The 25,760-nt window shown below is 39.8% G+C and overlaps 1 protein-coding gene across 4 annotated transcripts in view, besides 1 other annotated feature; it reads right to left on the reverse strand.

The window, feature by feature from the left end:
* The window catches only part of HYDIN (HYDIN axonemal central pair apparatus protein), a 428,639-nt gene that overhangs the window by 356,329 nt on the left and 46,550 nt on the right, over positions 1-25,760 (reverse strand). For all 4 annotated transcript variants that reach the window (NM_001270974.2, NM_017558.5, NM_001198543.1 and 1 more), the window contains exons 4-6: positions 20,516-20,635; positions 17,195-17,329; positions 4,119-4,318 (exon numbers count right to left, since the gene is read on the reverse strand). In NM_001270974.2, the coding sequence (NP_001257903.1) occupies positions 4,119-4,318; positions 17,195-17,329; positions 20,516-20,635 (455 nt within the window). The remainder of the gene's footprint in view (positions 1-4,118; positions 4,319-17,194; positions 17,330-20,515; positions 20,636-25,760) is intronic.
* Positions 2,909-3,109: a silencer, noted in NCBI's record as "fragment chr16:71195224-71195424 (GRCh37/hg19 assembly coordinates)". NCBI's record gives its function as "represses an EF-1alpha promoter that drives an FKBP-Casp9 reporter gene in an ReSE screen in K562 erythroleukemia cells {active_cell/tissue: K562}" and the evidence as "EXISTENCE:reporter gene assay evidence [ECO:0000049][PMID:32094911]".

Here is a 25,760-nt window from a genome sequence, read left to right on the forward strand (position 1 = left end):
ATTTTTTTTTGCAACTTCACACTATTAAATCTGTGAAGTGATTTTTGCTTCACATTTACATGAATCTAAAATATACGAAATTGCCATTTTGGCATGGTTTTTTTCAAATTCAGCCAAACAGCGCAGGAAGATATGTTCCCGCACTTGCATATCCACCTTAGGTAGATTCTTTTTTTCATAGAAAAAAAAAAATACCATTGTAACAGTTTTTAATGGGTATTGTGAATGGTGGTTGTGGGAGACCATTTTTTCAATTGAAAAAGATGGTTTTTTTTTTTTTTTTTTTTGAGACATGGTTTTTCTCTGTCACCCAGGCTGGAGTGCAGTGGCATGATCATGGCTCACTGCAACCTCGAGCTCCTGGGCTCAACCAATCCTCTTACCTTGGCCTCCCAAGTAGCTGGAACTGCAGGTATGGACCACTACACCCAGCTTATTTTTTTGTTTTTTGTATTTTTTGTAGAGACGGGGTTTTACCATGTTGCCCAAGCTGGTCTCAAACTCCTGGGCTCAAGTGCTCCACTCGCCTTGGCCTCCCAAAGTGCTGAAATTACAGGCATAAGCCACCATGCCAGGCCAAGATGGGTTATTTCTAATTCATGGGAAGCCAGCTGAACAACCTGTTTCCTTCTCCTCCATCAAAATATGTGAGGTTTGCCATGAGACGACAAACAAGGCCTGTAGAGAATTTATGACCAATGTCTGGAGACACTGAGTTCCAAAAGAACTTTTCCTTTGCCTTTAGTGGTTGATTTATTTAAGGTGGTTTAGAATCTTGCTTCTACCTAGAATGCAGAAAGCTGGAAAGAATGTTTCTTTTACCCTAACCATAAGAAAAAGTGAAATAAATAACAAAATCACAACCTTTCTTGTGCCTGTCAGAGAGCAGAGGTAGCACATCAAATAGCCTGAAATCTAAAGACAGACCAACCCATTTCCCCCGAGGGGGATGGGATATGCACATACGGTTTAGACTGTGGCTTTCGCCTGTGGCAGGCAGAACTTTCCTGCAAGCAGAAGAAAAAGTGAAAGAGGATAGAACAAAAAAAAAATTTGGAGAGATAATAGCTGAGATTTTCCAAAATTAATGAAAGATTCAGGAAGCTCAGAGAACCTCAAGCAAAATTAAAACCCAAACCAAGCAAAAGCAAAACAAAATCTTTAAAACAAAAAGCAAAACATAAACAAAACTTACACCTAGACACATCATTTCCAAACTGCAAAAACCAAATAAATCAGCAAGTAGCCCAAGAAAAAGAGACAATTACATACAGAGGAACAAAGATAAGAATCACAGCAGACTTCTCATTAGAAAAATGTAAGTCAAAGGACAATTGAGTGACATATTTAAAGTACTGAGGAAAAAAATATATATATAATTGTTGGCCCAGAATTCTATATGGTGAAAAAAAATATCTTCCAAAAATGAAGGAAAAATAAACACTTTTTTCCAGATAAACAAAAACAGGGAATTTACAGTAGACTTGTGCTACAAGAAATATTAAAGGTAGTTTTAAGCCAGGAGAAATAGGATATCAGACAGAAATGTGGATCTACACGAAATAGTTCAGAGAGAGTGATTCACCTAGAGTACTTGGAGAAATAAACACAAATTCCCTCCCAAAGGATGTGCCCTCAACTGGCAATATGGCAGTGCTGCTACCCACAGTATGGCAAAGTGGGTCACTTGAAAACCCTCCCACCAGAAAATACCTAGAAAGACTGGATAAAAGATAATGTAAATAAATGCATAAATGAGCATGCACAAAAATAAGAAAAACTCATACCATTCCAAAACAAAGAGGAACCTAAGAACCACAGCAGTAAGCCACTGAGCTAATGATAGGTCTGCCCTGGGTTCCCAGTAGCCCAGAAGCCTGGGTTTTTAATAGCCCTGCTGGAGCCGGAGACAAGGCCTCACAATGGTCAAGTTAGGGGACTGGTACCAGATCCCCGTATAAACCTGAGAAATGTGAAGGACTCCCCAAACACACTCCCATCAGCAAAAGAAAAAGTGTGTATCTGAGTTTTTAATTAAAGGAACAAAGTTTCTCTAGGACATTCATAACTTGAACTTGTGTCTTATGAAGGTGTGGGATTTGCATATGAGCTATCAGTCCAGGAACTCCTAAGGTAGGAAATTACCAAAAGAGTACTCCATGGTAGCCTAACTTTTGGGAATCAAGTAGAAGCAAATTCTAATCCCTTTTGGACAAATGAGTCATTAAGTCAGCAAAGGATGCCACAGATAATGCCCTTCTGAAAGAGAACTTAAATCCAGTATATACACACTACTTTTTAAAAACAGAACTTAAATCCAGTATATACATACCACTTTTTATAGAAAAGAACTTGAACCCCTGCTTCCTGTCTTCCCAAGCTGGTTGTTCTTTTTAAGACCCCACTGGTCAGCCACTTGCTCTCATGCCCCAAAACAAATCCTTCTTTCCCATCTTATAAGAGAGGTCCTTGAGAGATGGGGTTGTTTCATCATTCTTATACCAGCAGTCCCCAACCTTTTTGGCACCAGAGACTAGTTTCATGGAAGGCAATTTTTCCACAGATTGGGGGTGGGGTGGATATTTTCAGGATGATTCAAGCACATTACATTTATTGCACACATTATTTCTATCTTATTACATTGTAATATATAATGAAATGATTACACAACTCACCATAATGTAGATCAGTGGAAGCCCTGAGCTTGTTTTCCTGCAACTAGACGTTCCCATCTGGGGGTGATGGGAGACAGTGACAGATCACTGGGCATTAGGAGCATGCAACCTAGATCTCTTACACGCACAGTTCACAATAGGGTGTGTGCTCCTATGAGAATCTAATGCCGCGGCTGATCTGACAGGAGGCGGAGCTCAGGCGGTAATGCTAGTGATGGGGAGCAGCTGTAAATACAGATAAAGCTTTGCTCTCTTGTCCACCACTCACCTCCTGCTGTGCAGCCTGATTCCTAAAAGGCCACGGACTGGACCGGTACCAGTTCATGGCCCGGGGGTTGGGGACACCTGCTTTATACTGTCCCATGGTGTCTACACTGTGGTTAGTCCACAAATACTCAGATTAAAATCCAGCTCTATCACTTACTAGCTCTGTGCTCTTCAGGAAATGATGTGACCTCTCTATCCCTCGGTTTTCTCATCCTCCAAAGCCAGCAACAGCAGATTGAGTCCCTCTCACAGCTCACCACGCTGAACTCTTCTGCTTCCTTCTTCTATTTTTAAAAGCCCTTGTTGGTTACACTGGGCTCATCCAGTGAATCCAGGATTATCTCCCAATTTTAACATTAGCTGATCAGCAAATTTAATTATATCTGCAATATTAATTCCCCTTTGCCATACAACATGATACAGTCACAGGTTCTGGGGATTAGGATATGGACATGTCTGGAGAGCCATCATTCTGTCTACCACACTGGCCATAGCTCATTTGAAGGAAAAAGAAAAGAGCAAACACCGATTATACAGCACTTGATATATACCAGCAGTTTCTGTTGATTATCCCAACAACCTTATGAAGTGGCTGGTATACTTTTCCCCATTTTTCAGAGAAGAAAACTGAGGGCCATGAGCCAAGGAATGTGGGTGGCCCCTAGAAACTGGAAAAGGCAAAGAAATGTACTCTCCCCTCAAGCCTCCAGAAGGGAATGCAGCCCTGCTCTCACTTTGATTTTAGCCCAGTGCAACTTCTGACCCACTGAAAAGTAAGATAATAAATTTGTGTTGTTTTAAGCTACTGAGTTTGTGACAATTTGTTACAATGGCAACAGAAAACTAATCAAGCCAGTTATAAAAATTCTCAGTCAAGACAAATTTATTTCTATATTCTCATGGGCCATTCTCTGTACTAAAAGAAGGACTTTTATCCAGCATTTTGAAGAACCAAAAAGAGGATTTAGTATAATATGGATATAAGATATTAAACCTTGAATTTTTGTTTCCTCTGAGGATGAAGAGGAAGTCTACCCTACATCAGTGAGGTCTCCCAGCTTTGCAACTGAAGACTGTAACAAGCAATTCCACCCCCCAATGTTATGGTAGCAAATTACTTGAGCTGACTAGATTTAGCTATAATCAATCAAAGACAAGAGCTAAAGGCATGCATACCTACAAGTTTTGATGTGAAATACAGCATTTTTGTTGCCAATGTTTCGTACCAGCAGAATCTTCTGGGTGCTGTATTTGACAGGACAAGTGGAAAAATTCAGCTTGTCAGGAAAATCGAGAATGGCTCGTGCCCCTCTAGCTTTGATGGGTACAATAAACTTTTCTCTTTCAGTAACACAGGTCAACGTATGGGCGTAATCCTACAAGGGAAGGGTATGATCATTATTTGTGGAAAAAGCAACATGATCACGATAACTGTTCAAGAAAAGGGTCGATGAGAGGCATTTTGCAAAACAACTTTTAGTATAGTTCTATGAAAACATCTTAAAACAATTACAGAAGTACTTTCAAATGAGATTGTCTTTTCTGAGAGAGAGAGAGAGAGAGAGAACAGATCTAGTGTTAAAACCTACAGCTGGTAGAGAAGCTATGCTTCATGTGTCTGTCAGGCAATAGGGAGGTAGGATGAAGGTCAGTGGAAGGCCAGGCCCATTTCTCCTGTAGATCCAAGAAGATTCACAACAGTTCCCTCAGGTCCTCCTTCCAAACCCTAGTTCTCCTTCAAGCCCATGTATTAGAATGATGTTTCTTTTTTTTTTTTTTTTTTTTTGAGACAGAGTCTCGCTCTGTCGCCCAGGCTGGAGTGCAGTGGCGCAATCTCTGCTCACTACAAGCTCCGCCTCCCGGGTTCACGCCATTCTCCTGCCTCGGCCTCCCGAGTAGCTGGGACTAGAGGCACCCGCCACCACGCCCGGCTAATTTTTTGTATTTTTAGTAGAGACGGGGTTTCACCATGTTAGCCAGGATGGGTCTTGATATCCTGACCTCGTGATCCGCCTGCCTCGGCCTCCCAAAGTGCTGGGATTACAGGCGTGAGCCACCGCGCCCGGCCGATGTTTCTAACTAATGGCCTCTTTCTGCCTATACTCTTTGCAATGTGACTTTGCAGCTCCTCCATCAAGTAATGAGTCTCCACTCCACTTGCTTTCAGCAATACAAGGTGGCCGAAGTTATGCTATGCCAGTTTCAAGCTGAGACCTCAAGAAGCTTTGGGTCTACCCAGTCTTGTTCTTGGAACCCTGCCAATGGCATGTGAACAAGCCTGGTCCAGCCTACTGCAGGATGTGCACCTGGATGCTCCAACCAAGACCATGCTAGACCAGCCTAGAGCCAGCTGATCCCCAGATATGTGAGCCTAGCCACAATAAGCAGAGTTCCCTACCTGATGAGAGGGCCCAGGCAACACCAGAAAAACCACCCAGCTGAACCACAGTCTTGTGAGCAATAATAAGTGCTTATTATTTTAAGCCACTAAATGTGGGATTGTTTGTAATCATACAGAACTAGCTAACTGATGCGTAAGTCAGTTGAAACCTCACTTCTTGCACAAAGCCATTTCTGACCATTCCAAATAAAAATGCTGAGGCCCTAGGCATCTCTCTTCTCCAGTCATGAGTTTAAATGCAACAGAAATGCTGAATAAAGTCACTCTTTATGCCATCTCATAAGATAGAAATAGCATATTTGCCTGCAATGTAGCAAAGAAAAAGTTAAAAGAAGTCACCATAAAAGGTATCTGATATCTAAAAAAAGCTTTGTTTTCCTTCATTTTCTCATCCTTTTATTGTGTGTTTTAGCTGCAAGGAGTCTTGATTAATGAAAAGTCATTTTGAACAGAAATTTCCTTTTGGTAACCATGTGATAAACGGTAGTAAGTGGTGGAGGTTTTAAAAAAAGCTCTTTTTGGGCTTTGGACATAGAATAAGAATGGGACCATCTGGCATACAAATTGGCATACAGGGCTGGCCACATACTCAACCTCATGAAGCCACAGGACAAGCATAAAGCAGTGGCATCCCCAGTTTATTCATTCAACTATGTTCATTAAGTGCCCAGGTGCCAGCACAGCACTGTGCTAGGTCTAGGAATACAACCAATTAGGAAATGCAGACATGGTCACGGTCCTCCTCCAGCTCACATCAGGATGGAGGAGACAATGAACAGATGAATAAAGGATATGTAATGTACAGTGCAACTCACATATAAATAAATATAAAGCTAAAACTGCCAGGAATGCTCACAAATAGCCTTTACGCCTGTAGTTCTATCTGTCCCCTTGGGCTCCAAACTCATAACCAGCTGCCCAGTCAGCATCTCATTGGATATAAACTTATGTCCCAAACCAAAGCTCCTGATGAATGTCACTGCCTGCTACTGTGCATAAAGATTTCTGCTGAGGGCCAGGAATGGAGGCAAAACAGCTTCAGCCCAAAGGGGGAACCTTTTTCTAGTACCCACAAAGGCTCCACAAAGACAGCTAAGGTCTGACCCTCTCTCCAACTGCAGCATCTCTCCAGCGGTCTGGCTTTAGAACCCTGAAATGAGGCATCCTTTCATGCTCTGTTTCTCAATTTCTTGATACAATCCATAGGATCTACCTTCAAAATATATCCAAACTGTAATCACTCTTCACCACCTCCACCCCCGCCACCCTGGTCCTAGCCACTCCGATCTTTCCCAGGCTAACAGGACTTTCTATTTCAACCGTTGCTCTCCTAAAGTCTATTTTCCACCCAAGGGTCAGAGGGACCCAGTAAAAATGTAAGTCAGCTCAGGCTGCTTCTCCGCTGAAAAGTACCTAGGCTGAGGCTGGCGCACTTGCGAAGGTCCCGTGGTCTGGTGCCCCCATCGTTTCTCTGGCCACATCTCCTCCTCTCCCCTGGTTCCCCCTGCAGCCACAGGTTTCCCCTTCAGAGCCTTTGCACATGATGTTCTCTCCTTCCCTCTACTTATTCATGGTGCTCACCCCCTCACCTCTTCAGCACTTGGCACGGCGATCCACTGTCTCCCCGAGGCCTCCCCTGACTGCCCTATTTTCAATGGAACTCTCCCTCTCCTGCCCCATCACTCCCTTACCTTCTGTCCAGCTTTAGTCTTGCCCAGAGCCATCTAGTATATCGTATATTCTACCTCCCCAGTGAGTGTAGTGCATGTCTCCCCCGTATTTCCATGTCAAGAGGGATTTGCCCATCTTCTTGCCTTCTGTATACCCAGTACCTAGAACAGAGCCTAGTATCTAGCAACTACTCAACAAATACTTCCCAAAGGAAGGAAAGTCGGTAACAGAACATTTGGTAGTGATGAGTGACGGGAAATAAATCATGATATGGGGACAGAGAGACTGGAGAGCTCTTTTACATGGCGTGAGGGGGAGGGGGGCGGTCAGGAAAGGCCTCTATGAGGAGGTGACACTTCAGCAGAGACATGAGTGACAAATGAAGCCATGTGGATGGATGGCTGTCTGGGGGAAGTGTGATTTGGAACCTGTGGCCAGAGGGGAGCAAGGGAAGGAGTGTGGTTAGACACATGGCCAACAGGTTGTGGCGGCCAGATCCCAGAGATCTTGTAAGCCATTGTTAGGACGTGAGAGGGCTGAAGGCATTCCCAAGGCTGAAAGCTGATCTTGATGTAACCTGAGTAACGTTTTAGAAAAAGCGCTGGCTGCTATGTGGGCCACGGACTGCAGCGGGAAGAGGGAGGCCAGTTAGGAAGCCACTGCTATAGTCCAGGCATGAGATGACACAGATGTGGACTTGTGTGGGCAAGTACTTAGCCCAGCATTTAGCAAGTAGTAAGTACTCAATAAATGTTAACTGTCCTTATCAGACTTTTGTATTAAGTACAATTTGTGTAAGGCATATAGGAAAAATTCAACATATGTTTACTCTCGTTGGTAGTGAGCCATCTAGCCATCTATATACTGATAAGGATAATAATAATAGAACAAGATAATTTCAGAAAGTGATGAGGGCTTTGAAGAAAATAAAGCACAGGAAAGTGATAATATCGGATGGGGTTGATTTAGGTTAGAATAACTAAAGAGGTCTTCCTGAGGAGGTGACCTTCGGATGGGGACCTGAACAGCAAAAGGAGCCAGTTGGGTGAGATCTAGGAACAGAGTGCTCCTGCCAAGGGGAACTGCAAACATACAAGTCCTAAGGCAGGAGTGAGTCATAAAAAGGAATAAATAGGATTCAAGAAATTGATTAAAACTGGGTTGCTAGTATATTTTTAAATAAAGAATGTAACTGGATTGTGTGTAACTCAAAGGATAAATGCTTGAGGGGATGAAACCCCATTCTCCATGAGGTGCTTATTTCACATTGCATGCTTACATCAAAACATCTCATGTACCCCATAAATATATATATCTACTGTGTACCCACAAAAATACTTTTTATTTAAAATATATCTTTTAAAATGGCTGGGCGTGGTGGCTCAAGTCTATAATCCCAGCATTTTGAGAGGCTGAGGCAGGTGGATCACTTCAGGCCAGGAGTTCAAGACCAGCCTGGCCAACATGGCAAAACCCAGCCTCTATAAAAATTAGCTGGGCATGGTGGCTCACACCTGTAGTCTCAGCTACTCAGTAAGCTGAGGCAGAGAACTGCTTGAACCCGGGAGATGGAGGCTGCAGTGAGCCGAGATCGCACCACTGCACCCCAGCCTGGGCGACAGAGTGAGACTCTGTCTCAAAAAAATTAATAAATAAATAAAATAAAAACAAAAATAAAAATAAAATTTTAAAAATTGAGTTGTTAGACTGTTAGCTCTGCAAATGATTCTGGTTTCCAGATGGTAATGCCAGACTCAAAACTTATGCTATCTAGACATGAGGAAGCACAAATTGCACTAAGCACACTTGATCTTAGAAAACCCCACATAATTCAACAATGCAACAGCCTAGTCTGATTACTACAGAATCCTAAAGAGATAAGTACTATTTTCGCTTTTTCTTAGGCGATCAAATCCAGCCAGCATATGTTTTTTTGGGAATTATAAACTGAAAAGCCCCTGGCACATGTGGAGACTGAGCATTAACTGAGGCGTTGAGAGCTAGAACAAAAGATGCTGCTGAATCCAGGATAAGAGGAGATCCTGAAGTGTTTGTCTCATTTTATTCTGTACTCACATATCCGCTGCCTTGTTCTAGAAGGAATTAAAGGCAGCTGTAAATAGTTTAGGAGGCTAATTGAAATACTGAGAGAGATGTTTTCAGACCTTTTCAAGTTCCCAAATAAGGAAGGTTTGAAGTTTGATTTGCATTATAAATTTTTTCATAATCAATTCACACACCCATAAAAGAATATAAGGTTCTTTAAACAAGTCCCTTAAAATGTATTCCAATCTCTGAAGTTATGCACTTAATATGACTATATTAGATCATACATCATTATATATTGCTCTGCTGGCTTACAATTAATTCAGATGTTATGACTAGGGAGGCTCCGATGGCCTGCAGGCTTAAGCAATCACTTCAGTTGATGAACTGAACACCCAGCCTCACAAACCTGCTTTTCCTCCTCTGTTCCCTATCTCTGTAAATGACACCACCATTTGACCAGTTGTTAGCCAAAATCCTACAGTTCAAACTAGGTGCATTTCTTTCTCGTATCATCGATCCATCAGTAAATCCTGGCAGCTGTACAATAAAAGTATACATCCGGCTGGGCACAGTGGCTCATGCCTGTAATCTCAGCGCTTTGGGAGGCTGAGGTGGGTGGATCGCCTGAGGTCAGGAGTTCGGGACCAGCCTGGCCAACATAGTGAAACCCCATCTCTACTAAAAATACAAAAAATTAGTTGGGCGTGGTGGCAGGTGCCTATAATGCCAGCTACTTGGGAGGCTGAGACAGGAGAATAGCTTGAACCCAGGAGGCGGAGGTTGCAGTGAGCAGAGATCACACCATTGCACTCCAGTCTAGGCAACAAGAGCAAAACCCTGCTTCAAAAAAAAAAAAAAAAAAAAGTATACATCCTTACTCCTCCTACTTCTCATCACCTTCACTGTCACCACCCTCATCCAAACTTCCTTATCTTTTACCTGAACTACTATAGTAGCCTCTGCCCCCTGTATGCATCAGGGATCAGTCAGCTACGTTATAAAAGGAAAAAGAGCAAAATCAGAGCAGTTTACACTAGGCAGAAGTTTATTTATCTTATACAAAGAAGTCCAGAGGTAGGTAGGCCAGGTCGGTAGGGTGGCTCAACAGTGTCATCAGAGACTCAAATTCCTAAATTCCTGCTCTACCATTCTAGCATGCAGTTCCCATCCTCGATGTCACCCTGTGGGGCAGAGTAATTCCTGGGACCCAACTCTTTCACAGCCAAGCTGCAGGGCAGAAGGAGGAGGGCAGAAGGGACAGGTCACCTCCTGCTGTTGTCAGCTCTCTTCAACCAGGTGCCTTGGAGTCCTACTCACATCTCATTGGCCGACACTTACATGCAGCTGTAAAGGAGGCTGGGAAATGTAATTTCTTATTTCAGGCAGAAATGTCCAATCAAAATTTGTGGTTCTCCCTGTACACTGATGATGGGAATGTAAATTAGTACAGCCATTATGGAAGACAGTATGGCAGTTCATCAAAAAATTAAAAATAGAACTACCATATGATCTAGCAATTCCACTTCTGGGTATATATCCAAAGGAAATGAAATCAGTATGTGGAAGAGCTACCTGAACCCCCATGTTCACTGCAGCATTATTCACGATAGCCAACATGTTGAATCAACCCAAGTGTCCATCAATGGATGAACATACAAAGAAAATGTAGGCTGGGCACAGCGGCTCATGCCTGTAATCCTAGTACTTTGGGAGGCTAAGATGGGCAGATCACTTGAGCTCAGGAGTTCGAGACCAGCCTGGACAACGTGGAGAAACCCCATCTCTACCAAAAATAAAATTTAAAAAAATTAGCTGGGCATGGTGGCGGGTGCCTATAATCCCAGCTACTAGGGAGGCTGAGGTGGGAGGATTGTTTGAGCCTGGGAGGTAGAGGCTGCAGTGAGCTGAGATTGCCCCACAGCACTCCAGCCTGGGCAACAGAGTGAGACTCTGTTAAAAAGAAAAAGAAAAGAAAATGTGGCATATATATACAATGGAATACTATGTAATCTTAAAAAAGAAGGAAATTCCATCATTTGTGACAACATGGATGAAACTGAGGCAATTATGCTAAGTAAAATAAGCCAGGCATAAGAGGTACAAATACTACGTGATCTGACTTATATGTGGAATCTAAAACAGTCAAATGCATAGAAGCAGAGAGTAGAACAGTGATTCCCAGGGACTGGGGTTGGAGAATTGGGGGATGCTGGTCAGAGGGTACAAAATTTCAGTTAGACAAGGAGAAGTTCAGGAGACCTATTATACAACATGGTTAATAACCATGTATTGTAAAATTGAAAATTGCTAAGAAAGCAGATTTTAAATGTTCTCACTACAAAAAAAATTATAAGTATGTGAGGTAATGTATATATTAATTAGATAATGTATATATTAATTAGCTTTATTTAGCCATTCCAATGTGTATATATATTAAAACCTCATGTTGAACACCACAAATATATACAATTTTTGTCAATTACAAATAATTATTTTTTTAAATTGTGGTTCTCTTACCAATGAGGAAAGAGAAAATGAATGTCAAGGGGAGGCTACTAGCGGTGATGCCTCACGTGGCCCTGCTTCAGCCTATTCTCTACTTGGTAGCCAGAGTGGTCCTAAAATGTAAGTCAGATTGTGTCATCCCTAATCACAACCCATCAGGCTGGATAAAAGGAGAGGATCAAGCATTTCTCCTATCTTTCCTGAATGGACTATACCTCAGGGGAGCTGAAAAGCTGGTGAGGGAAAGTTTTGGTTTTGTTGTTGTTATTGTTTTTAGAATAATTCCAACCAGTAAGTGCAAAATAAATTATGGAATTAGAAACTTAACCCTCAGTGATGTAGGGAATGATCTTTATTGGATCATTACAAAAACAAAATAAAACATAACAGACATTTTGTGCCTCTTGATATAATGCACTAGGAAGTACCACATCACCTGTGAAGGATTCTTGATCAAAAAGAAAAAATTGAATCTAATCAAGGCTATAGATCTAACTATCAGTTACAGGCAACAGGCAGCAAGGGGCCATTCTAAACAACGTGATAGGAATGCAATCAGCAAACCTTGTCTGGATCTTGATTTAAGAAAACCAACTTTAAAAAAAAACAAACTTTTTCTTAATTGTGAACCATTGTTGCACTTGGTATGCAATGGTTTTTTTAAAAACCAACTTCTTAAAGTTGGTTTTCTTAAATCAAGATCCAAACTACTGACTGGATATGTAATGATATTAAGGAGTGACTGTGGTTTTTTAGGCACAATCATGGTACTGTGGTTATGCTAACTTTTAAAAAGGCCCTTATCTTTAAGAGAAAAATCACAAAATATTTACAGATGAAATTACATGCTGTATGGGACTTGCTTCAAAATCTACTGGGGGAAGGGGCAGGACAGATGAAGCCAGACTGGTCATGCGCTGAGATTTGAAAAGGTGGGTGATGACAGCAGAAAGTAGAAAGACACTCTGCTGTTCTTTCTACTTTTGCATATGAGGAAAAGAAAGCCTTCCATAATAAAAATATTTGAAGTACTTTATGGTGGCTTCCTATCCCACTTTGCATGGCTTCTAAGATCCTTCATGAGCTCACCTGCTGGAATCTCATTTCCTACCATGTTTCCAACAGCTTCCTCTGCTCCAGCCCCACTGGCCTTCTCGTACTTTCCCGAGCTGGCTGCCAAGCGTGTTTCTGCCACAAGGCCTTTGCACTTGCTGTTCCCGCTCCTAGACAGCCCTTCCCTCAGATATTTGCACGGCTTAAATTAGTTATCTTAAGTTAGCCCAAATGTCACCTCAACAGGAGAGCCTTCCCTTGACTTTCCTATCAGAGAAGTCTTCCTTGACCTTACTTTTGAAAGAAAGCAGAGCCCTTATCATTCCCTACCCCCTACTATGTCAATTTCTGACATTAAATTGTATATATTTGTTTGTTTGTTTATTCATTGTGAAATGTAAGCTCCATGAAGGCTAAAGCTTGTTCTATTCTCCATTGGATCTGGCTCAGAAAACTGGGCCTGGCACTGAGTAAATGAAATAATATTATTCATTTGTAATCTTTTCTGGGTACTACACTATCAGGAGTTTTTATAAAGAAATTTCCTAAAATCCTTGTTAGCCTTATTATCAAATTACATTTATGAGGTCCATAAAGCTAAAAAGCATGGATGTGACTATCTGGAAATATGAAACAAAATAAAGAGAAACTCTTTTTAGAGAAGACTTCCTAGACATCTTACTGTTAATTGAAGTGACAAAGAAGAAAGTTAATATCTAATATATTCATGACACAAAAAGATAATTGAGCCCTTTTTACATGCTCTTCTCATCTGTAGGCTAACCTCAAGTCAAAGAAACTTCTTTATATTTTCTTAGATTAACTTTTACTTACTTATCTCACTCCACAAATATTTACTGCACCCTTTCTATGTATCAGGCCCTGTGCCAGGTACTGGGGCTACAGGGGTGATCCAGATAGAACTGGGGAGGGCGAATTTCAGGCAGGAGGAAAACAAAATCCTGATCATTATTTTTGCCAACAAAAGTCATTGATTGTGGACAATTTTATGATACTGACATTTAAATTCAAATTGCTGGCAATATAGTTTTATTATTATTGTATACATAGATAACATAGAACATGTTAACATTTTCTACTCTTTTTGGGCTATGGTTTTTAAATTTCATAGTGACAAACTGGAAAAACCATTTTGACAACAAATTAGACATTTTCTTAAACCATAACTGAGCCACCCAGTTGCACCACTGCATGCTTTCTTCAAAGCTTGCTGCCTTTTCCGTATGACAACACATTGCAAACAGATGCTTTCTTAAGTCCAAGGAAGTACTTTGTTTTGCTTTCCCACAAAAGCCTAATATTTTTCTTTCTCATTTTAATGGTAAAGATACAAATTTAAGAGGTCAAGAAAAATGTCAGGCTCTAGAATTTTATAGTGTTATTTTATGATGACACTGGCTATCACATTTCTACAGTATATGATAGGTACACTAGGATTATTAGATTAATAACATATCCAATCATTTTTTTTAAAAAGTCTGAGTGAGGAGAGAGAAGGAAAGCCAAAGTAAATTTGCTGCACCTGTTATCTGGGCATTTGGCATTCTTAACAAGTTCCATCCCTAGGCAGCCAGATTAATAGATGATGGGCGGGAGGGAAATGTAAATTGCATTATCATCTTCGACATGCTAATATACATGGGTACTGAAAATCCAATTGAAAGAGGGCTGGCTTAACTGTGGCATGCTGCAATTTACATATCTTACCATCCAGATGTGAGGAGAGTAAATGAGAATGGAGAGTGTTCACATCAGCAGGGGATAAGAAAGAAAAAAGCATGTACTTTGGCTATCAATTTGGCCAAGTGAAGAAACAGTGACACTTGGTGAAATGAATGACTTTTATTTTTCCTAAAATAAATCTGGCTCTAGTCACTCATTGGCTGCATTCTGGAGCAGCCCGAAAGACAGCATGCCTAACCCTAGCAGGTCATTCTGCGCACTGCCCTGGGGAAATGATGTCTCTAAGGAAGACTTTCCAACAGTGAAAGCGAATGTAGATAACTGACTACGCCATCATCAGTGCTAGCTAGCCAGCAAAATGAGAAAACAACTCTGTCTTTTGAAATAAATTATATAGTTTAGAGCCAAGTCCAACACAAGATCTTAATGTCTCCAAAATTGGACAGCTGAATTTCTCATAGGTAAACATTATCCTCACTATGTCTCCTCAAACATGCATTCAGCTTTTGATAACTTTCAAACATTTAGAAGTAACAGTATAACAACATTTAACTCAGTTAATTTTTTAAATTAGGGGTTTCCCAATAAACATGCAATGCTGGATAAGTGGAACGGTAAGAAGGAATAAAAGAGCTGAGAGTAAGATAAGCAGCTACAAAACACAGTGAAGCAATAATCCTCACCAGAAATGTTAGCATTTCATATTTATAAACTACATAGCAACATATTTTAAATACATTTCAACTATTTCTTTGCAGGATAAACAGTAATAAAATCTCTCTCTTCTTCTAGCTTTTGATTATGGAAAATTTAAAACATGCACAAAGAAGACAGACTAGCATGACAAACCCCCAATGTACCCATCACTCAAATTCAAAAACTCTTAACATTCTATCATTCTGGTTCCCTCTATACCTCTATCCACTCCCTCCCCCTTCTATTGTTATACAGGTTTTTTTAGCTAAAATTTATGTATATACTGAAAAGCACAAATATAAATGTTTTGACAAATGAATTCAGCCACATAATCCTCATGCCAATATAGAACATTCCATCTCCAGAAAGTCTTGTGTATCCCTTTTTCAGTCAGATGAGGTACAGATACAACGATACTTATCCAACAGAAGACCTATTTTCTCCAGCACAGAAAAAAACTAAGGAAAGCCACCTCCTCAAATCCAGCATGCTTTGTATTTCAAGCTGCACAAAGGATTATAATCAGCTTCCTACAAAAATGAGGGTGTAGGAATCTCACACCCACAGTAAATCCAGACCCTGTTCTCCCCACAGACAATATTCAGATATAGAGCCTCCAGAAAAAATGAGGACTTCAACAATATGCAACAAAAAGCCCTACATCTGCAGTTATTTATCTTTTTATTTATTTCAGTAGAACCTCAAACAAAATTGTAGTTTCCTAAACACAACCTAACATATAAATGGTAATACTACAAAGTGGCAAAATTATAGCAATGGTATTATTATAACGGAATTTTTAACCACTCACCACAAGGAGTACATACTTAACAAACCACATTAAATTCTCTATCCTTGCTCTCCAGAAAAGTAGTAACAACAGCAATAGTAGAGGGAATACTGGTAATGATATTGACAGCAGCCGATAGGTACTAGCGGTGGAGAAGCAAGGACTCCAAGCTAGTTCTGTCTGACTCCACTGTGCTCTACTGACTCCAACCATAAGAGTGCAACACAGATAAGCATGCCTGCTATTAACATGATACACAGCCTGCATTTTGTTCTGCATATTTAAGACTTGTTCTCTGTCCTCACTCCTTCAATCATGCTGGTAAAACTCTTCTCCTCCTCCTAAGTCCCCATTTAGGCCCACAGAGAACAAAACCTGACCAACAATTCTACTCCCTGGAGAAGGGGTGGGGAGGAAGCCTCCACCCTCAGGCCCCCATACCTGCTCCTTCTCTCCTAGAAGGAACTGGAATTTCCATGACTGAGGAGAGTGAGATTGGGCTCCATTCCCCTCCCCACCACTGCAGTGGTACTGAGAGAAAATGGCCTCCTTTTTGACTGCAGGCTCTTCTTAGACTGCCTGTGAGCTGATGGGGGTGAGCAGGCCAGGCAGGCCTCTGCTCTCAGCTCTAGCTTTACCATTACTGAGGCTGAAACTATGATATTATCTCTATGTTTGAGTCTTGGATCTCTTTTGCAAACTAGTTAGAATCTGGGGAAGAAAGTCATAACCAATTAAGGCCCCAAACTTCCTAGAAGCCAAAATCTTTATCCTTTGTCTCAGCATTCCTCTCGTGACTACCACCGCCTATACCACCATCAATGACAGCACCACCACCATCTACACCACCATCACCACCACCATCTACACCACCACCACCCACCAACTCTACAAATACTAACATCACCACTACCACCACCATCAGTGACAACAATACCACCACCATCTACACCACCACCACCACTACCACTATCAATGACAACAATATTACCACCAACTACACTACCATACTACTAATACCAATACCATCTACACACACCAGCACCATCACCCACCACTACCCACCAACACTACTAATAGTAACAACACCAGTACCAACATCAATAACACTACCACTACCATCTATACCATCACCACCATCAATGACAACAATATCACCACCATCTATACTACCAACACCAACACTACCACCACTACCCACCACCCTCCAGCACTACCACCAATACCACCAACAACAACAACACAAATGTCAATACCAAGACCACCATCAATACCACCACCACCACCACCACCACCACCAGCACTACCGCCTCTGTAAATATTCAGAATTGAACTGCAATCTGCCAGTACAAGTGTCCAATTTCTTGCCATTCCTGGTATTACCTTGTTCTCCTCTGGAGTAAAGAGGATTCGGAATATGGAAGGCACTCCAGGAGCCACTTTGTGGCCAATATCTTTGGGGCTGATTACTTTAAAGTAAGGCGAACTTTCTTCCACAACTTTCACCAACCTTGGAATCTGCAGGGAAACACATGATGATGAACATCGTGCATGTGAAAAAGCAGAGTTAAACACAGACTGAAATCCATCAACTACTTACTAGACGTGTGACCTTGGTCAGGTCTGAACTTCAGTCTTCTCAACTATAAAAGGAGATGATAGTACTTATCTTTATCCCATACAAAGTAAGCACCCAATACCTTCTAGCTTTCATTTTTATTAACATTATTATTCTTAGTTATTTTTATTATTATTACAAGTCTTTGTTCATTTTAAAATTAAATCATTTAAAAGTGACTATCAGCCAGGCGCAGTGGCTCACCCGTTATCCCAGCATTTTGGGAGGCCGAGGCAGGAGGATCACGAGGTCAGGAGATCAAGACCATCCTGACTAATACAGTGAAACCTCATCTCTACTAAAAATACAAAAAATTAGCCGGGTGTGGTAGCATGTGCCTGTAGTCCCAGCTACTGGGGAGGCTGAGGCAGGAGAATCACTTGAACCCAGGAGGCAGAGGTTCCAGTGAGCCGAGATCGGGCCACTGCACTCCAGCCTGGGAGCAAAGAGCAAGACTCTGTCTCAAAAAAAAAAAAAAAAAAGTGACTATCTTCAAGGGCTCTTTAATCAGCTAAAACCTCACCCACATAATGGAGTTAAGCTGGATTTCCCAACATTTGAGCATTTGAGAACTGCTCTGAGAGAAGTCACACTTCCTGCACCCCTTCAATGGCCCATCTATAGCACATTATATGCCACCTCATCCTCACCATAATCTTTGAGCTTCATTTTGACTCCCATGCTACAGACACTTGTCTACAGTAGTACAGCTCCACCAAGCAAAGGTGCTGGGAGTCAAGTCCCAGCCAAACTCCACCCCACCTCTCCATGGGATGGTCCTGAGTAAACACCACAAAGCAAGAGCAAAGAGCAGCAGGAGATCCCCCAGAGCAGTCTCAGAGCAGCTCCCAACAGCTCCATTCTTTTAAAGTCTTATTCTTCTGCTGGAATCTGAACCCAGATTAGTCTGACTCTGGAGTGTGGGTCCTTATCATTTTAACCCAATTAAAATCACAAGTGTTCTGGCTTATTCTCATCCTCTGTGTGTGAGGGACGGAGACACAAAAGTAATAACCTGACAGGCTCTATCTTTTGTACCCCACGACAGTGAGGAAGCAAATAAAAGGTGAAAGCATTTCTCGGGGCCCCAAATCTCTCCCCATGGTTCTTTATGAAACTGTGAACTAAAGAAGCAGAGGAGCAGGGTCACATCAGCCACCTGGCATGAGGGTCCTGGAGTCACCAGAGGACAAGCCTGCCTCGCCTGGAGAGAACTGTCTGCCTCTTGGTAGCTGGGCGTTCCTAGGATGGGACCCTCTTTCCATGTGGCCAGCACTCTGGCTGCATCTTATCAAGAGATGTTGGTTATCCATGAGAACTGAGTGTCTGGCAGACAAAACTCACACGTGCCCTTTACCCCGACTTGCTATTAAACAACCACTGATGACCATTTCTTGTTTAAGGTCAGAGAGGATGCTTTGGACTGTACCACTTTAGTAGGCTAAAAATACCTCAGCAAGAGTCAAAAAGTAATATAGAAAGGGAAAAGAGAGTCAGAAGTGAGAACTGAACTGCATGAAAAGATAGAGCCCTAATGTCTGTGCAATGCACCTCTTCTTGAGGTCTAGGAACACAATCTTGTGTACCTCCAGTTCTTTTCCTTCCCTTTCATTTCTGACCCATGAGCTTCTCTTACTAATGCTACTGCAGAAAAGAATGAAACAGACCATTTTCTCCAGAGTCTGGCTTTGCTGTCACTAAATCACCCCACTGATCTCTGCAAGGCATCGCTGATTCCCTTAATGAGCTGCTGTACCAAATATAACTGCAAGTCCATTTGCTTTGGATTCTTGCATAGTCTTTACTTAATTTCTATTTTGTCTTATAGCTAGAATTTTTTGTCTCCACATTCTTAGACCCCTGAAAGTATTCCTCCTTGTCTTTATACCCAGATTTCCCATCTCTCCAATGCCTTCCTCCCCATCTGATTACTTTTCACACTCAAGTATGCTTCATGCTGAACTTCTGCATTACTTTCTTTCATTATTGTTAAGTGTCAAGAAACTCTTCAGGCATTTAATATCTTTTCTTGAAATAAACCCTAATTTATCTCTAAAGAAAAAGTCATAAGGCTGAAAAAGAAATCTTCCATTACAATTGCAAAGAGACAAGACATAGACAGTGAGAGAAGCCTTCAAAACTGACTGTAGACAAACTTTGAAGGCTATCTTCTACAGAAAGAAGAAGACAGAAAAAAAGGAAAGGGACCTACATTTTTTAGAAGTGAAAAGAAGGCTTTTAAAAAGGTACAATTTGCAGACTATAAATGCATTGTAAAATACAAATATAAATGCTCGGCCAGGCACGGTGGCTCACGCCTATAATCCCAGCACTTTGGGAGACCGAAGTGGGTGGATCACCTGAGTTCAGGAGCTTGAGAGCAGCCTGACCAACATGGAGAAACCCTGTTTCTACTAAAAATACAAAATTAGTTGCGTGTGGTGGCGCATGCCTGTAGTCCCAGCTACTGGGGAGGCTGAGGCAGGAGAATCGCTTGAACCCAGGAGGCGGAGGTTGCAGTGAGCCGAGATCGTACCATTGCACTCCAGCCTGGGAAACAAGAGTGAAACTCTGTCTCAAAAAAAAAAAAAAAATATATATATATATATATGTATATATATATACACACACACATACATATATATATATACAGACATACATATATATATGCTCAACAATTGCAATTCTCATGAGTAGGGTTTATATCTTGAATTGGGGAAATGATGTCTCTAAGGAAGACTACATAAACATTAATAGTAATTTCCCTATCTTAAATAAAAACCTAGCCCAATTTGTCATACATAAGAACCCCGTGACATTCATCTGGTCAATCCTTTAATCAACAAAAGTTAGTGCACACGTTGGGAGTTCACTACGTGTTAGGCACTGGTTAGGACTCAACATATAGCAACAAACAGACACAGCCTTGTCGTCATTAAGTTTACAATCAAAGAAGATGTTTTCATACTATTTTCCTAAGTCTATCAAATTAAAGAACTTATCAAAGATCCCTCAAGATCTCATTTTACTTTAACCCATTCTCATATATCCTGGAACAGTTCACCCACCCCAGTGAACATACTCACTTTGTCATTGTTCCTCAAAATCAGTGGAACTTCATAGACTTCACAGGGAGTGTAGTTCTGAAATATAATTTCTGATGGAAAGGGCTGGAATAATGCCTGATCCAGGTCAATTCCTGAAAACTTCAGTTGAAAGAGTAAATTATTGTTATAGTCACACATTGACAAAAATGACTGGGGAAGATAAGAAAATACTACGTAGACCTGTGGATATTAAAACTAAACATGGGAAATATTCAAAAAGAAATCCATACCCAAGTACATCATTGTAAAAGCACTAAAACACAGGACAAAAGAATGTGTAAAAGAAACTGGAGGGAAAAATAGAATATTTAACTTTCAAGGAGCAAAAACACATGCCTACTTTTCAACATCACAAGTCAGAAGGCAGAGGAATAAAATTTTTTAAATCCTGAAAAAAAAAAAACAAACCTCTGCAGGCATAGTATTTTTTACCTGGGGAAAGTCCCTTCAAAAACGAAGTTTGAATAAACACATTTTCAGAGAAATAAAAATTGAAAAATGTTGTCACCAACTTCTAAAGGAAATACCAAAGGGTATTCTTTATGGAGAAGAGAATTTCTCTTAGAAGTTCAGAGATGCAGGAAGGAAAGGAGAATAATAAAGGGGTAAATATGTGGTTACTCTAAATGAATTCTCATCATACAAAACAATAATACAAATAACTAGCTTACTAATGGGATGTGTGCCCTGGTTGGGCACTGCACAACAGAACCAAATTGGACTTGGACCCCTCATTTCCTGTTCTATTTTGATTTTAACAAAGTACTTGCTTTTTATTTAACCAACCACTGAGAAGCCAGGTTTGTAAAGTATGACATCATCAAAGTGAATATAGCATCATCCAATGCTGAAACTACGAATTACCCCAAGCTAGTAGCCTGTTTAGCATCCAGTAGATTTTGGGTAGTGCCAGGTTTCCCTTGAAAATTCAGACTATCCAATGATGCCCTGTGAGTTCACGGTTGCGCCCTGGGGCACCTTGGCACACAGTTTGAAAACTGCAGCTGTAAGTATCCATCTTAATAAGTTAGAATAAATAGCAAAATAAATCCAAATAAAGAAAAAAATTGACATGACAAAAACAGGAGAGGAAATTAATGAAATAAAAGTAACTATACTATAAAAACAACAAAGTGAAATTCAGGTCTTTAAAAAGATTAATAAAATTGACAAAATACCTCATGAGTTTGATCAAGAAAATATGACAGAAGGCACAAAGAACAAATAGAAAGAATGGAAATGGGAATATTACAATAGAACCCAAATTCAGTAAAAAAATAATAAATATTATGTCAATAAATGTGAAAATATAGATAAAAATACAAATTCCTAGAAAAATACAATAAAAATGTATCAAAACTGGCACAAGAAGAAACAGAACATCTGAATAGTTCTAAAACTGTTACAGAAATTATATCTGTAAACAAACCCTTTTACAGAGAAAATTCCAAACCCAGATAGCTTTACAAGCAAATTCTACCAAACATAAAAGAAACAACTCAAGTATTATAGAAACTGTCCCAAAGAAAAGAAAAACAAAAAAATGAAATGTTTCCCAACTCAGTCTATAACGTTAGCATAACCTCCTTTATATATCTGAGAAAGACACTAAGGGAAAAGAAAACTATAGGCCAGTCTCATTCATAAACCATAGACAGATAGACAGATAGATGAAAGAAAGAGAAAAAAAATTTGCAAACTGAAACTGAAACTGGCACTATATAAAAACGATAACACATCATGACCAAGTTGGGTTCATCTCAGAAATTCAAGGTTGTTTTAATACTAGAAATCAAACAAGAAGAAACAAAACTGTCATTTTCCCCAGGCAAAGTAATTGCTTATTTCAAAAATTCAAAATAACCTACAAATAAATCATTCTAATAATTCTTTTATTAGAATTAATAAGTGATTTATCAAGGTCATTGAGTACAAGGTCAACATATCAAAACCAATTCTATTTTTAGGTACTAGCAATGAACATTTAGGAAATGAAATTTATAAACAATATTACTTAAAATAGTATCCTAAAATGTAAAACACATAGAAACAAATCCAATGAAAGATGTATAAGACCTTTATCCAGAAACTAAAAACATTATTGTTTTAAGGAATTAAGGAAGACCTTAACTGAAATTAAGGAAGACCTAACTGAATGCAGGAATACACTATTTTCATAAATTAAAAGAAATTTTTTCAGGATGTCAAATACTCCCCAAATTTATCTGAAAATTCAATGCAATACATTAAAAAAAAAAATCCCAGCAGTTTTTTTTTTGAAACAAAAAAGCTGACTGAATTTATACGGAAATGCAAAGGACCAAGAATAGACAAGATACATTCGAAGAACAAGATAGGAGGATTTGCTATATCAGGTAGCACAACATGATAATTATATTATTACATATCATATACTGTTACTTACCACAGTAATGATAATGAGATATTAGCACAAGATTTATCAGAAAAATAAATGTACCAGATTAGAAAGCCCCCAAACCAATTATTAAATATATGGTCACTTGATTTATGACAAAGGTAACACAGCTAATCTACTTCTCACATCTTAGGTTAGTTTTCTTGATTATATAAGTGGAATAATACAGTATATACTCTTTAATTTCTGGCTAATTGAATTTCTGCCATTAAGCAATCAGTCTTAACTACATCATTTCACCATAAGCTCAAAGAGCATAATGGAAAAAAAAGTCAAAGAGCACAAAGCAAATATTTAAGAATGTAAAGAAGTGAGCAGTTAGGAGAGATTAAAAATTCATGTCTTCATTCAATAAATATTGAGTTTCCAACATGTGCCACGTTCTTTTTTGTATGCTGAACATAGTGAACAAAGCCAAAAAAAGCCCTAACCTCATGAAGTTGACATTCTTGAAGCTCAAGCGATCATACAAAAAATATAGAAATACAGAACATAAAGTCAGGTAGTGAAAAGGCTGTGAAAAAAAGCTAAAGCAGGACAAGGAGATGGCAGACTGGGAGGTGGCTGCTCTTTTAGATAGGCAGTCAAGAGAAGGCCTCTCTGAGATGACTTCTAAGTAGAGGTCTGAAGCAAGTCACACTAAGATTTTAGAATAGCACTCCAGTTAGAAGGGAAAGCAAGTGCAAAGTCCTTCAGGTGGAAATTACCTTTGAGTGTCTGAAGAGCAGCATAGGGAAAATTCACTGAGAAGAGACTGAGAGGGAGAAGAGTAGAAGGCAAAGAGGTCCGTGAGGAAGGCAGGACTAGATGGTACAGGACCTTGGAGGTTTTGGCACTGAGTTTAGATTTTATTATATGAGTAATGGGAAGTCACTGGATGGTTTTAAACATGGAAGTAACATGTTCTGATTTACATTTTAAAAAAACATTCTTACTGCTTTGTGATAATGGGGGCAGGGGGAGAACGAGATGGAAGCAGGGAGGCAATTTTGATATTCTAGATAATGGTGGCTTAAACTGGAATGGTGGTGGAGAACATGGTGAGAAGCAGTATGATTAAAGACACATTTGTGAAGGCAGAATTCATAGCACTTATCATTGGATCATAAGATGTAAAATAGAGAGGCATCAGGAATACAACTCCAAAGTGTTTGGTCTAGGAAAACATATAAGTGGGGGTATGAAAAGCAGGAAGAAAGAGACAAAGAGGAAAGATCAGGCTTTTAGAGATGGAATGTAAAGCTACAATTAGATCTTAAATATATTAAGTTTGAGCTGCCAACCATACATTAAGCTGACTATATGATCCAGAGTTCAGGGGATAGACAGTGGCAGGAGATATAAATATAAAAGTAAACAACAAAAAGTAGAATTTAAAGCCTTTTTTCCTAGAAGAAGTCACCTAAGTTGTGAGTTCACAAGAGAAAGAAGTTCAAGTACCAAGTACTGGGAGCTCTAATATTTAGTGATCAGAAATGAGTGAATAATCCAACAAATAAAATAAGCAAAAATCAACCAGTGAAAAGTAGAAAGAAAATCAAATGAGTATGCCATGTCAGATACAAGTGAATAAAAGGGTACAAAAAAGAGATGCTCACTGTATCAAATGCTATGAGACAACATGGAAGCAATATGTTCTGATTTACATTTTAAAGATTACTTTTACTGCTTTGTGATAATGGGGGCAGAGGGAGAATGAGATGGAAATAGGAAGGCTATGTCAGTATTCTAGATAATGGTGGCTTAAACTGGAATGGTGGTGGAGGAAGTGGTGAGAAGCGGGATGATTAAAGAGGTCTGTTGAACCAGGTCTGGTCTGGTAAAAAATGAAGCATAAAAGAAATATATACATAACTCAAAGTAAGGGACACAGAGGATAGCCTAATGAATGTAATGACAATGCAATGGAAATGAACAGAAAGTTAAAAATGAATGAGAGAGGAAATGCAAGCTGTAGAAGGGCAGACAAAGAAGGTCCAACATATTCATCATTGAAAAATGATATGAAAAAAATACTTGATAATTCAAGAAAAACTTTCTAAAAATAAAATAAAGGCGCACAGTACCTCAGGAAAAATGTAGTGTATCCTAATACTGAACTTTAAATAATAACAAACAATCTTTGGGCACATGGGCTAAAAGATTAACTTATGAGGGAGAAATCAGGCTGGCTTCCGACTTCTACATACCATCATTTAAAGTCAGAAGGTCATAGGGAAAATGCCTGCAAAGCTGTTATGAAAATTTGTGGCCCAAGAATTTCATAAGTAACAAATCTGCAGTTCAGTATAAAGGCAAGACACAAATATTATCAAACACATAAAACAAAGAAATACAGTCTTCATAAGCTCTTATTGAAGAAATTAGTAGATGACTGCCACCCATCTAAGAGATAAATGATTAAATCTCAGCATATAAATTAAAAATAACCAACTGAATTAAAGAGGAGAGGAGAGAAAGTGTAAAGTATCTGATTTCCTCATCCTTTATAGCAGAGTCAAAACACATTAAAATACACTAGTAGTACACATGAAAAACTCCTCATAGCCTGTTATGTGTTATGCTTTCAGAAAAGAGGAAATGGTCCTTAATTAGAAGAAATGTCTTGGAAAAGACCATGTTCCCTCCACTCAAATTTGGAGGGTGGTTGTGGGAAACAGACAAAACAATAAAAAGCTAGCAATGCTCAGAACAGTGAAGCTTATGCATATCCTAGACAAAGGAAGCAATGGTGTAGCAGTAACAGCAGACAAGCCTCAAAGACTCATTCTTCATGAGGAACATAAC

The sequence above is a fragment of the Homo sapiens genome, chromosome 16 (genome assembly GCF_000001405.40).
Source record: "Homo sapiens chromosome 16, GRCh38.p14 Primary Assembly".
In the NCBI taxonomy this organism is placed as follows: Eukaryota; Metazoa; Chordata; class Mammalia; order Primates; family Hominidae; genus Homo; species Homo sapiens.